The sequence below is a fragment of the Homo sapiens genome, chromosome 9 (genome assembly GCF_000001405.40).
Source record: "Homo sapiens chromosome 9, GRCh38.p14 Primary Assembly".
Classification (NCBI taxonomy): Eukaryota; Metazoa; Chordata; class Mammalia; order Primates; family Hominidae; genus Homo; species Homo sapiens.
Window position 1 is genome coordinate 120597587 of NC_000009.12, and position 14521 is coordinate 120612107.

At 37.2% G+C, this 14521-nt stretch overlaps 1 protein-coding gene across 1 annotated transcript in view; it reads right to left on the reverse strand.

Annotated features, from left to right (window-relative positions):
- Nucleotides 1-3224: 3224 nt before the first annotated feature.
- The window catches only part of MEGF9 (multiple EGF like domains 9), a 113660-nt gene continuing 102363 nt past the window's right edge, over nt 3225-14521 (reverse strand). The window contains exons 5-6 of the mRNA NM_001080497.3: nt 10155-10424; nt 3225-8055 (exon numbers count right to left, since the gene is read on the reverse strand). Coding sequence (NP_001073966.2) covers nt 7604-8055; nt 10155-10424 — 722 coding nt within the window. The 3' untranslated portion in view covers nt 3225-7603. The remainder of the gene's footprint in view (nt 8056-10154; nt 10425-14521) is intronic.

Consider the following 14521-nt stretch of genomic DNA (forward strand, 5'->3'; position numbering starts at 1 on the left):
GGAGTGAAATTACATGCACATCTTCAAAACAAACCATTTTTCTTCATTTAACTTTGATTCAGTTTTTAATAATTCTCCCTAATCCCTCTTAGTGACTGTATGTTATCTCATGAAGTATATGCACTAAACTACATCTCTATTCTTTTTTTTTTTTTTTTTTGAGAAGGCGTCTCACTCTGTCTCCCAGGCTGGAGTGCAATGGCATGATCTCGGCTCACTGCAACCTCCACCTCCCAGGTTCAAGCCATTCTGCCTCAGCCTCCCAAGTAGCTGGGATTACAAGCATGCGCCACCAGACCTGGCTAATTTTTGTATTTTTAGTAGAGACGGGGTTTCGCCATGTTGGTCAGGCTAGTCTCGAACTCCTGACCTCAAGTGATCCACCTGCCTCAGCCTCCCAAAGTACTGGGATTACAGGTGTGAGCCACCGTGCCAGGCTACATCTCTGTTCTTGAACATCTAGAATTTATTCCCAAGTTTTGAAACTTTATACACCAGTCTGAAAAAAAATTTTGTGGAGCCTCTGCTTTTTAGGTCATTTCCTTATGAAGATTTCCTAGAAGTGGACTTCCTGAAATAAAGACCAATTTACCAATTGTGCCAATTTGCATTCAGTGGGAGGATTTTGATTGCTGAAAAATGAAGTAATAATCCTTCAATTAGTTGTTTATCCTTTGGGGATCATGTATCTTTTTTTTTTTTTTTTTTTTTTTTTTGGAGACAGAGTCTTGCTCTGTCACCCAGGCTGGAGTGCACTGGCACAAACTCGGCTCACTGCAAACTCCGCCTCCCAGGTTCAAGCAATTTTCCTGCCTCAGCCCCCTGAGTAAGTGAGATCACAGGCACCCGCCACCATGCCTGGCTTAATTTTGTATTTTAGTAGAGATGGGGTTTCACCATGTTGGCCAGGCTGGTCTCGAACTCCTGACCTCAGGTGATCCACCCATCTCGGTCTCCCAAAATGCTGGGATTACAGGCATGAGCCACTGTGCCGGGCCGATCATGGATCCTTTTGAGACAATGATTAAAGTATGGGTCTTCTCTCCAGAAAAAAAGAAACACAATTGCATCAATAAACAAAACGGCATGAAATTTCAAGGGTTTCTCAGAACCTCTGAAGCCTATGTAAAATTGACACCTCTCTTGAATAAGAAATATTATCGTATCCACTGAATAGAAGTTTTGTTGCCATACTTCAACAAATAAGTTCACATACCAACTCTTGTATTGTCAACTACCTTTTGTACATAAACCATCACTTACTGAGCACCCACAATGTACCAGCAACATGCCAGATGCCAGAGGCAGAAGAATAAACGCTCCTAATTTCAAGGAATACAGAGTTCACTGGGGAAGGCACAAACTAACAAGTATTTATAATAAAATATATGCAGTAGTAGAAGTATTCATTAGGCAAAATGGAGGTACAAATTTAAGAATTGATCAACTTTCCTTTATCAAAGGTTTGCAAAGAATGAATGAGCATTCTCAAGGATATTATAGGTAGGGGAAACAGTACCAGCAAAGGAGGAAGACATCATATAACCTGGCATATGTAGGAAATTGTATGAGTTTAACATGGTTGAATTGGAATAGTAATTAACGTGGCAAGAGCTGAGACTTTTCCTTCTTTGGGTCAAAGATTGAAAGAACCAATACTGACATATACAATTTCAGCAGTTTGTCTAACAACACAAAGGAAACCACAAAAGAAGATTTCCTCCCAAATACTTCTTTTATTACCCAAACCTACTCTTATTACATACAAAGAAAACATTTTGCCTGTTTTCTTTTGCAACTGTTTGAAGTGCAGTGTTCCATTCAACAGACAAGGTTTAAAATCTACTTATTATTAATACAAACAAGCAGCACATTGTAAATTTAACATTGTCTGATGGCTTTCATTTTGTACACGGAAGTACTAGAAAGCCTGTACAATTACTACAATAATTCCTCATAAAATTGCCTTGAAAGACTAACTTATAGGTAAAACTGCAATTTTAACATTGATTTAGATAGAATGTTGATTTTCAGCCTGTCAACACTCCTAATGCTATCATCTCATGAAAAACGTTTTTAATTCAGCTTAACTTTTTTTTTTTTTTTTGAGACGAAGTCTCGCTCTGTGGCCGAGGCGGGAGTGCAGTGGCGCAATCTCGGCTCACTGCAAGCTCTGCCTCCCGGGTTCACGCCATTCTCCTGCCTCAGCCTCCCGAGTAGCTGGGACTACAGGCGCCCACCACCACGCCCGGCTAATTTTTTTGTATTTTTAGTAGAGACGGGGTTTCACCGTGTTAGCCAGGATGGTCTCGATCTCCTGACCTCGTGATCCACCCGCATCGGCCTCCCAAAGTGCTGGGATTACAAGCGTGAGCCACCGCGCCCGGCCAATTCAGCTTAACTTTTAAAATATAAGTAAGCACACTGTTACTTTGAAGTTACTGACTTAATTATAATGGAGCATGTGGAATTTTTTTAAAACATAGATGTTTTATACTCCTATGGAAAATGAATACAACCAGTTTTGATAATGCAACCTCGCAAATGTCCTTACTTGTTTGTATATATATACTTTCTCTTGAAACTGTAATTTGTTTAGATTTCTGCCATGCTTATTCTTTTCCCTTAATACCCAATTCATATACATCACAGAACCACATGTATAAACATAAGGTGTTATTATAAAGTGATAAAACCTGTTTTCTTGTGTGGCTAGAAAAGAAAAAATAGAGTTTAAAAATTTAAATGTTAACCAACTGAAGTTGAATAAAACAGTTTAAGTTTATAAAGCTCTCAGCACAAAGAAATGCCTGACTTTTTCTTTTTTTTCAAATAAAGGAATCTCTCAGATGGCATCCCATTAAACACCATCTAGCTTTGTCAAAATACAGGTTCTTCAAGAGTAGCTTAAAATATTAAAAAGATGTACTCTCATTACAAGTTACTTAATAAACAGGTAGAATATGGTTTCTCTTCAGATTTCTACCAAAGAAAGGAAATTCTTTATATGTGTGACAAAGAAATCCAAAGCGAGCAAGTTTTCTCTATAAAATCCGACGGATGTCAGAGGGAATAGGCAAAAGCACAAACAAAAATATATGTTAATATATTTTCTTCTCAGGTTTTGTTTTCCTCTAAGAGAGGGAATCTTCTTCATGGATTTTTTTCCCCCCAAGTAGAAAACATTCTTTAAATGAACTTAAACAAAATACATGGCCAATAAATGAAGAGTTCAAAGATTTTTATGAAGTGGGCTGAAAGTAAATGATCCTTGGCATGTATTTGAAGACATGAAACAACTCTGACCACACAAAAAAGTAAACAACAAATCTACAATAGGTACAAATTATATACATTTATTTTTAATAATTTTAAATAACACTCTTGTATAAATTCTTTCATATATTCAAATCATACACAAATTTAGAAATGCATGATGAAGCCTAGTACAGCATATGTATGAGACACATTTTTTAAGTTTGTGTTAGAATTTTAGTGACATAAATACAAGTTTAATGTTTCAGAAACATTCCCTAATTGCTCGGCCTATAATTTAATGTATTATAGAGTGCTTATGCCTAGCATTACAACTTGACTTTAAATCATTTAGCTTTTGGACTAACTTAGATCTGAAGCCCTGGGCTTACTTTCTAGGGCTGCTGCTGCAGTAACAAGTAACAATTCCTACCCACATAGCCCAAAATATAGGAACCAGGGATGTTCATTATAAGTGGTGTTATGTTCACCAAGCATCCTAAAAAGTGTAGGACCAAGGTGAATGATCTAATAACCCCATTCCAATCAAAGCTGTCAAGAGGAAGTATTGTTGCTTTAGTTTTCTACTCCCAAAACAGCACTTAAAGGGTTAAATATCCTGATGGTACTCAGCTGACCAAAATAAACTAGTAGGTCAGTGAGTATTGCTTTAATGGTCAATTTACCTGGGAATATTGGCGCTAGAGAACAGTGATATAATTTGAGGTGTCTACAAATGTTGTCTAAAAAACCTCTCTCCTCTCATCCCATGTTTCCTCTGTTCTCTACTCTTAAAATCTAGGTATCACTGGGAAGAGTAACGCACTAGGCCCACAGGACCTTAGTATTAATATAAATGAGCTTTAGTTTTCAAATGTCATTTTTTTCTCTATAACTGGAGAAATTCCATTAATAAAAGAACCCTAGGGGATAGAGGGTAGAGGGAGCGAGAGGGGAGTAAGGGAGGACACGGACATACTTAACACTACCTAGGGCACCTAACCATCAGAAATGCATAGGCGCTTACCAAAATGAATTAATGAAGATAAAAGCATCGCTTAATGGCAGTATCTGTAATTTCCAAATAAGATTCACATCAGTGCTATCTTATTTAAAAATAAACAGATTTCCAATCCTTACACAAACATTCTCCCAATATTAGGCTTTCTTTTTCTTCCTTTTTTTTGAGACAGAGTCTTGCTCTGTCGCCCAGGCTGGAGTGAAATGGCGCCATCTCGGCTCACTGTAACCTCTGCCTCCCAGGTTCAAGTGATTCTCCTGCCTCAGCCTCCCAAGTAGCTGAGACTACAGGCACGTACACCCGGCTAATTTTTGTGTTTTTAGTAGAGACGGGATTTCGCCATGTTGACCAGGCTGGTCTCGAACTCCTGACCTTGTGATCCACCCGCCTCGGCCTCCCAAAGTGCTGGGATTACAGGCGTGAGCCACCGCACCCGGCCCAAAATTAGGCTTTCTAAAGGACTGATGGCATCCTGCTGCCAGATGCCACAGTTTATGGGGCCCATGCCTTTAGAGGAAAGAACATTGTGCAGTGCATCCCATGCTAGTTTCCTAGAATGATTTCAGTGGTAGATCACTTTCTGATTGATTTATATTTTAAAGCAAATTATTTCCAGAATCAAAAAGCTCGAGACATTAGAGGATCTTATTTAAAACAAATTTTAAGACTTTTTTTCCCATTGAGAAAAATTATAACCATGATCTAGGAGCCATTAACAAGTATTTAAAGGTAAACTTTCTTTGTGATTCAATTTTTCAATACCTTTTAAGGTCTGTTTCAAGGAATTTCTACATGGTCAAAATCCTCTTAGACTCCAACAAACCTCCTTTCTCTCTATTGGTTTAACTTCTGTTTAATAAATGTTCACTTCTCACCACCTTTAATCCTGACCTTTTTTGGGGGGGGCAGGGGGCGGTGTATCTGGGAGAAAGACAGGTATGCCATTTTGCACAATTTCTTAGAATTGTGCAGTCTGTACACACATATGCAGCAACTGCTAGGGAAAGCAAATTTTCCCTTCCTGCTTGGAGAGATGAGTTCACCTTAATGAAGCACAAACTGGCAGTTTTGTTTTCTAATCACTAATACTAACTTCAGTTAGTAAATCTTCTTGTGTTCTTTTCACTAAGTGCTTCATAGCTGTATGGCCCTGGATTGCTCCTGATATTTAAAAAAAATTAAAAACATCCACAAGTAGAACTCTTCCTCCCAGCTTTCTTGTGTCCATGGCTAGGCAATTTCTGCATATAGTTGAAAAAACATGTGCTTTAGAGTTAGAGGCCCTGATTCCAAGCCTAATAATCACACACATTGTATAGCCTTGAACAAGATATTTAGCTCCTCTGTGCCTCAGCCTTTTCATCTATAAAATGGGGACAACAATTACTTCCTCAGGGGGCTATGGTGTGGAAGAGAGGACACACATATGGAAAAGTGCTTTGCAAACTACAAAGGGCTATAGAAAAACTAAATAATTTTCATATAATGTAATATAATGTAACCTCTATTCTTCTGAGCAATGGCCAAATACGCAAAGCACCCTCAGATTACCAGAAGTAGATTATTTGCTTGTACTCCCTCCAGAACATCATCTCCAAACCCTGAGAACAACTTAGGGGTCTCCTATAAAGGGATGACCAAGTTCTAGGTTTTTCTCTAGGGAAGTTAGGCAAAGGGGTCAGCTTGAATTTCCTAGGTCTAATCTAATAAGAAGTTTTTATTTTTTTTCTAACCACTTCACAGTTCACTGTTCCTCCTAATAAGTTATATTTAACATCTGACCACCTTTCCCACCCACCTTGCTTAACCCAAAATGTCAATATCATAATAAACGAGAGCAACAGTAGTTGGCCTCTAGGAAAAAACTCCATCAAAAAGCAAGAACTAACTAGACACACCCATCTACAAAGCTGCTCATTAACCAGACAGGAAGACAATGGGAGAACTATAGCACTGCAGGGAGATGGCACATACCTCATGGCAAATGAGTGACAGGCTATGTTCACATGTAGGAGATTTTTTATTTGGGGTGAGGGAGGATTATAAATATTTCATAGGCATGAAAACTACAGATCCCAAGTAATATGATGGCTTTTCTCTTGGAACTAAAATATTTCTATCCTTTGGAAGACTATCTTTTACATTCAAGAAAAACATTTTTTAATGAGGATATGTTTTATATTAATCTATGTAAAATATATAGGGTGGCTAATGTCTAATTAGATTAATGTTTTTGGAGAATGCATCCTATGTCCCAGCTTAACGATTACTGACTTCAAAATCTATTGCTTGAATCATAGTAAGTCAAAGAGCATATAACTCTACTTTTAGACTGAGAAAGGAAAGAAAGAAACATTCGACCTCTTATAAATTTCAGCAATGTCCTCAAGAAGGACTAAAAATGACGGATGCTCACCAGAGTCCCAGCTCTAGCAATATTGCCATCTATTTTACAGTATTTTAAGCAATCCCCATATTTTTCTTTTTACAACACCATTAACTGCTGTACAAATAAATTCCAGATGATAAAATATGACATGATTTTTTTTTTACAAATAGATACAAATACAACGTCGACCAGATATGCTACATTAACTATGTACACCTTATTTCTCTAGAGGCAGGAATATTCCTTATTTTTAGACAATTTATCATTTACACTGAGACCCTGAGGAGGACCATCAGCCTCCTGCTCCCCAATGCTGCCTTCCTCCCTTAGAAGCTTATCCTGTGCTTTCAACTCATCACTGAGCAAGAATCCTGGGAGGAAAAAACCAAGCCCTTCTGAAGATCTTGGGACTTTTCTACCCCTGTTCTAGAAACAATCAAGATTATTTACTGTGATACAGCCTAGAAACAAGCTTTTCCTCAATGATGTCCTTTTGTATAGTAAAACGAATATAATCCCTGACACTGTTTTAAAAAAAATGTTTCAGGAATGGAGATGAAGTCTTCCAGCAGTCTTTTCCCCCTCCACATTCATCATCTTGTTACCACTGGCTTGGTGAATGCTTCCCCAGGAGTCTATCTGGAGGTCAAAGTGGTTTTGGGCTGCACTATGGGGTTCAGCCTTTCCATACTCCCATGTGGTTTGGTACAAAAATATACTTTACTTCAAGTCCTAATGACAGTGAACGCTTCAGATCTTCATGGGAAAACTAAGAGCAATAGATAGGCTAAGCGCATTACAAATTTGTACCTGAAAATTTCAGATGCACTATTTGCCTTTGCTTTCTCAGCAAACTCTAGCCAGGCTTTGTCTGGCCCAGGGGCTGACTCTGTCTTAGCAAGCACTGTGGTTTAACAATTCAGAACAGTTCTAGCTCCTTAGGCTTTGTAGTTATGTATGGGCGTCGTCAGGGTCAGCTGCCCATTGGGAGCCACTTCATTGCCATCATCTTCCAACAATCCCGAAACATCTGCATTGGGAATGCTGTCATGGTAGCTGCTGAAACTGATATTGTCTTCTTTCAGCTCGATGGTCCAAAAGGGGGCATTGAGTTTCCGGTTTTGGTACTCGCGGTACATATATACAGCCCCCACAAATCCCATTAGCAGCACCACAACAATGATGATGACTGTCAAAATGATGATGTTAAATTGGGTCCATGATACATCAGCTAAAGCTGAAGTGCTGTTTTCAGAAGTGCTTACTGAAAAGATAGTCTGCAGGGTTGTAGGGGTAAAAGTACTATTTATAACAGGGGTGGGCACTGATGTGGTCAAAGAGGCATTGGAAACCAAAATGGTAGAACCTTCAGGTGTTGGAAGAATAACTTCTGAAAATAAAAACAGAGAATGAAATGTAAAAGACAAAATTATCTAGTTTTGAGAAACAATAAAAGAAATACGCATGGGAGTGAATGTTGATGTAGGATGTTAACATGATATTCTGCTTTAAGGTAATGCAAGTTAAAAATAATGTTTAAAGAAATATAGTGATAAGGGTAAGAATCAGGGTCTAGAAAGCTAGATTATTACATCTATGGCTGTTTTCCAATATGTATAATATCTACATTAAAATCTTTGGGCCGGGCGTGGTGGCTCACACCTGTAATCCCAGCACTTTGGGCGGCCGAGGGTGGTGGATCACGAGGTCAGGAGTTCAAGACCAGCCTGGCCAAGATGGTGAAACCTGTCTCTACTGAAAATACAAAAAATTAGCTGGGCGTGGTGGCGGGTGCCTGTAATCCCAGCTACTCGAGAGGCTGAGGCAGAGAACTGTTTGAAGCTGGGAGGCAGAGGTTGCAGTGAGCTGAGATCATGCCACTGCACTCCAGCCTCGGTGACAGAGCGAGACTCTGTCTCAAAAAAAAAAAAAAAAAAAATCTTTGGGAAAATACCAGTGTTGGAGTTTTCCATTCTTATTTACTCTTAGATAAAATCATATAAATTCCTGCAAAGGCAGTAAATTTGTCACTACTGAGCTCTAAATCACATAGTTAAAAGTAACAGGGATATATGGCAATCATTTGAACAAAAATAAGTCTAACAAGTCTGATGGCATTTCATAAAGGTAAAATAATTATCTGCAAAGGAGGTGTAGGGAAAACTATACCTCTAGTTATGTCTGAAAAACAAATTTTAAATGTCTGAGGCTGACATCAGCCAAGAGAGAAAACAGCTTTCCTTAATTCCATGTGTAGGAATTCTTCCTTTGTGTAGATTACAGCTACTTTATAATTTAGGTATTATACTTTGTATTTCTAATGGCAGCATAGTTTGGTGGAAGGACTAAAGGCTTTGGAATCAAATAGAAGTGTGTGGCTACAGATAAGTAAATTTTTTTAAAGCTCGGTTTCCTTATCTGTAAAATGTGAATAATAACATCAACTTTGCTGAGTTCTTGGGAAGGATTAAATGAAATAATATACTACACAGCATTATCACATTTAATGCTTACGGTGCTTGGCATATAGTAGGTACTCAATAAAAGTATTACTATTATTATTATAATTCTTCACCATGAAAGCCATATCAATTTATTCTAAAAAGAGGCAAAGTTTATATATATTACCTATTAGCTAATAAGAAAAATCATCAGTTCTGTCAGCTAACTATGGACAAAGTGTGCCTCCCAAATAGGTAAGAGAACTGAGTAGCAGGATCTCTAGCTAGTAATAGGGTTCAATCTGAATCTTTTTGCCTTGATCACTACAGTATAAAGATATCAAGAAAATGGCAGAAAGATGACAGTTGCCATAGACCAACTGTTCATCAGCCTCGTGTTCAGCATGTTAAGAATATCAAAGAGTGGTTTGTAGAACAGCATGGTCCAATCTCTCTGTGACCTAATAAACCCTCAATATCCTAACTCATCCTGAATTCATAATCATTAATTTTAATTACTGAGCTTTCCTATAAGAAATATTTTGCCATGTGGATAACTTTTGCTTTTAAAATTCAAAAGGAATATTATTATTTCCTCCATTGTACATGGGGAAACTTAGGCCCAAAGTTAGGACAGATGCTAGAATGAACTCCAGCTTCTCAGCTGGAACTTCTAACCAGATTAGATGTCCCTACTTCAAAAGACCTTTGATGATCCCTCAAAGTGATGAGAATAAAGGAAGCAAAGAATAAAAGAAATGATAGGATTCTTAAATTATTAACATAAAAATAAAAATAGATGAAGAGAAAAATGTGAGAACATTTTGTCTCACTGTCGCAATGACTTTGTCTTGGTCCTCAAATTTCTGGAGTTGACTGTGGAGTGTCAGAAGAGCAGCAGGAATGGAAGGAAACCTCTTTAGGCAAATATCTATCAAAATCTATTTCCAGAAACTCCTCTGGTAGGGTTAGAAGGTTTTACAAAGCCTTCCATTTTTCACTGCTAGTTTTAGATATTAAATTTACAATCACTTAGGTGAAGTTTTACCTTTCTTGATGCAATTTCCCTCGAGGTCGTGAACATAACCTTCTAGGCAGTTCTCACACCAAAACCCAGTGGTGTTATGGAGGCAGTTGATGCACTCACCACTCTCGGGCTTACAAATCTTTGGAGTTTTAACTGGGTCCACATGGCCGTGACATTGGCACTTTCTACAGATGCTGTCAAAATTGTAATAGCCATTTTCACATTTATTGCAGTTCGGGCCTATGTAACCATCTTTACACTGGTCACATTCAGGTTCCAATTCACTCGATTCTAAAAGAGAGAATGCCAAAATAGTTTAGTACAGTCTGAAGCTACAATTAAAAATGCAAAACAACTACTAGTCCTTAAAAAGATTTATAATCCCAGAACTTTGGAGGCCAAGGTGGAAGGATCGCTTGAGCCCAGGAGTTTGAGACCAGCCTGGGCAACATGATGAGACCCTGTTTCTAATTTGTTTTTTATAAACCTTCCCTACTGTCTCCTCTCTAGAGACATATAATAATCTCTATTAATTAATTAAACTAATAATCTATAATCTATTTACTAATTTTCCAGCTTATTGTAGGAATGATGGGGCCATCCAGAGAACCTATTCATGTAGAGAGCAAAATAAATAGGCTTACATAAGGAGTCTGAATGATTATGATGGGTTGGCACTCTCATAATTGTGTTATTCCCTTCTTTTTATAGATGACAGATTGGATAAAATATTGTTTTAACAAAAACTTCCTCCATCCCTCCCAAACTTAAATGTGGGTACTCTGCAGACTTCTATTCTTGGTTTCTTTCTCTTCTCTGCTCATTTTCCATGGGTGGCCTCATCCACTGACATCATCAACAATTCCAATATGTGTATGTGTATCTCTAGTCTACATCTCTGTCCTAAATTCCAAACTATATACTAACTTCCTGTACACCTGGATCCACAAACATCTCAAACTTAACATGTACAACACTGTCCTCAGTATCTTCCCTTCCTGAGTCCTGTCTTCCTCCAATGTTCCCTAGATCTCAGTGAATGGTACCAACATCTACCCACTTGCATAAGCCAAAACACTGAGAATCATCTCTCAATCCTCTTCCTCCATATGTCCCTTCTAAGCAGTTATCAATTCATATTAATTGTACCTGATTAAAGTCTTTCCAATCCACGGATGTCTCTTTCCATTCCCACTGGAGTGATCTTAGATTAAGCCTTCATCATTTCTCACCTAGATTATTGTAGCTACTTCCTCATGGTTCTTTTTATCACAATGCACCCCTACATTCACTTTGAACTTCAAAGTAAATAAGAATATGTTACTTCTCTAGAGAAATCTCTTCAATGGTTCCCTAACTCCTTCAGGATTAAGTGAAAACGTAATAGAATTTTTAGTACTTTTCATAATCTGACCTCTGCCTACTTCTCTCAACTTTTCTCTCTTCACTTCACACTCCACCACCCCCTAAGGTTCAGGCACATTAAATGGCTTAAAAGAACTCCCAAATACCCAAATACTGCCTGCTTTCTTCTGTCTGAGGTTTTGTACATACTACTTTCTCTGCATGGGACATCCTCTTGTCTCTCTTTCTAGTTCAGTTAGCAAATTCAATCTGTAGGAATTAACTCAGGTATTACTTCTTCTCAGAAGCACAGAAGTTTTCCTTGATTCCCTCAGTTTAGGATAGGGTTAGTCTATGCTTAACTGTAACACATGTCATTTGAAATTGTAATTACCTAGTTACTTGTGTGTTTCTCCCATTAAACTATGAGCTATTTGACATTTTTCTGTCTTTATCGCCAATGTTTAGCACAGTGCCTAAAACATAGCACGTGTTCAATATGTATCTACTGAGTAATTTCACTTTAGGCAGTAGGAACATAACAACTCATACCTATCTGTTTCCTTTTTTATTCTTCATAGGATTTCAATTCTGGATTCTTAATTATATTTAATAAATAATTTTTAATAATCAACAAGTCATCTTTTAAATCTGCTAGATAGATTAGTTCTTTCCTTAGAATTTACTATTATAATTACACTAACAGGATCACCCTGTTATCTAAACACAGACTAATGTTATTATAGCAGGAATACTTTACAGTGGTCATGGAACTTGTGGCAATGAATCATATTTCTGATGCTCTTTAAGAAAAACGAATTCCTTTCATCTTTCACTTTTACTTTTTAAAATGGCTTTGAGATATAATTTATATACCGTAACATTCAACCATTAAAAGTATACAATTCAATGGTTTTAGTATATTCCCAGAGTGTGCAACTGATAAAGAATTCTAACTTACCACTTACAATCCTAGTGGGTAGTGTGATCTCAAGTAAGTTACTAAACTCTGGGCCTCAGCTTTCCATATTTCAAATAAAGGAATTAAACCAGAAATACTTAGGTTACTTTCAGCAATAAAAGGTGGCAGCTGAATTATTCATAACCCATGCAAACAATAATATGCAGGAAAAAAATTCTTAGTGAAAAGGCATATATTCCTTGTTCTCAATGAAGTTACAGCTTACAACAGTACCATATTTTACAGCATTTTTGTACTTCAACAACTATAGCAACAATAATCTAAAGAATTCCTGATGAAATAGACTGAAGGACTGAAATTAAGGTTTGTGAAAGCCTTTCATGCCTGTCATGGGCAGACCAACTGGACCTCAAATATGACATTCAATGTGCTGCCTGATGTTTCACTCCTTCTGCCTTATACTTTGTTTCTGCCATTCTTAAGTAGTTTCTTGATCAAATAAGCTGTTTTAAGATTTCTGTACCATTGTTCCTACTGATATTTTTATCTGAAATGTCCTTCCTTCTCCTGTCTACCTGCTAAATGCAGACTCCCATCACGAGACTCAGCTTTTATGTCACATCCTCTCTGAAGCCATTGCTGATATTCCCCCACTCCAGGCAAAGTAATTATTCCCTCTTGGTGCATCCACTATACATAAATACATGATATTGCACTGTAGTACGAGAGCTTGAGGGACAGGATAATTTCCTACTGGGAGGTATAGAAAAGTCTTCATGAAGCAGGTAACATTTGAATTGGGCCTTGCTAAGAAGGTCACCATCAAGAAAGCAAAAAATTAAACCACAAAATAGAAAAAATATTTATAAATCATATATCTGTTAAGGGACTTGTATCTAGAATATATAAAGAATTATTTCAACTCAATGATAACAAGATAAATAATCCAAATTTTAAATGTGCAAAGGATCTGAACAGACATTTCTCTAAATATATGAATGAACAATAAGCACATAACTAGCCATCAGGAACATGCAACTTAAAACCACAGTGGAATACCACTTCATATCTACTAGGATGGCTATAATTATACAAAGGCAGATAGTAAGTGTTGGTGAAGCTGTGGAAAATTTGGAACCTACATACAGGGTTGGTGAGAATGAGAATGCAAAATGGTGTACTCATTTTGGAAAACAGTCTGACAGCTCCTCAAGAGGATAAACATAGTTACTACAGGACCCAGGAATTCCACTCCTAGGTATACACTGAAGATAAATGAAAATATATGTACATACAAAAACATGTATACAAATGTTCACAGCAGCATTATTTGTAATAGCTAAAAAGTGGAAACAACACAAATGTCTATCAATTGATGAAGAGAGCAATGAAATGGGGTATAACACAATAATATATTATTTAGTAACAAAAAGGAATGAAGTACTGAGACATGTTATAACATGAATGAACTGAAAATACTATGCTAAGTGAAAAAAGCCAGACACACAAGGCCATGTATTGAATGACTTCATTTGTATGAAATGTTCAGAATGGGCAAATCCATAGAGCAGAAAAAGTAGGTTAGTGGTTGCCTAAGGCCAGAGGAAAAGGGAGTAATTGCTAATGATTATAGGATTGTTTTTTAGGTCCTTTTGTTGGGGGAGGTGATGAAAACTTCTAAAATTGATTGTGGTCATGGTTGCAAAACTTTGAGACTATGTACTAAAAAAACTGAATTTTGCATCTTAAATTGTATGAAATGTGAATTACAGCTCAACAAAGCTATTATTTAAACAGACAGGGAGAAAAGAAAGGAAAGAAAGAAAGAAAAGAAAAGAAAAGAAAGAAAGGAAGGAAGGAAGGAAGGAAGGAAGGAAGAAAGAGAGAGAGAGAGAGAGAGAAAGAAAGAAAGAAAGAAAGGAAAAAATTCAAACCAGCACCACCCAGCTAAGCTGCTTCGAAAGTCCTAGTAGAAAATATGTGAAATAATGAATGCTTACTGTTTTAAGCCACTAAATTTTAGGGTAATAGGTTATTTAGCAATAGATAACTAATATATATATCAGGATTAAATGAGTCAACTATATTTATTAGATTGCAATTAGTCAACATTATTCGGTAT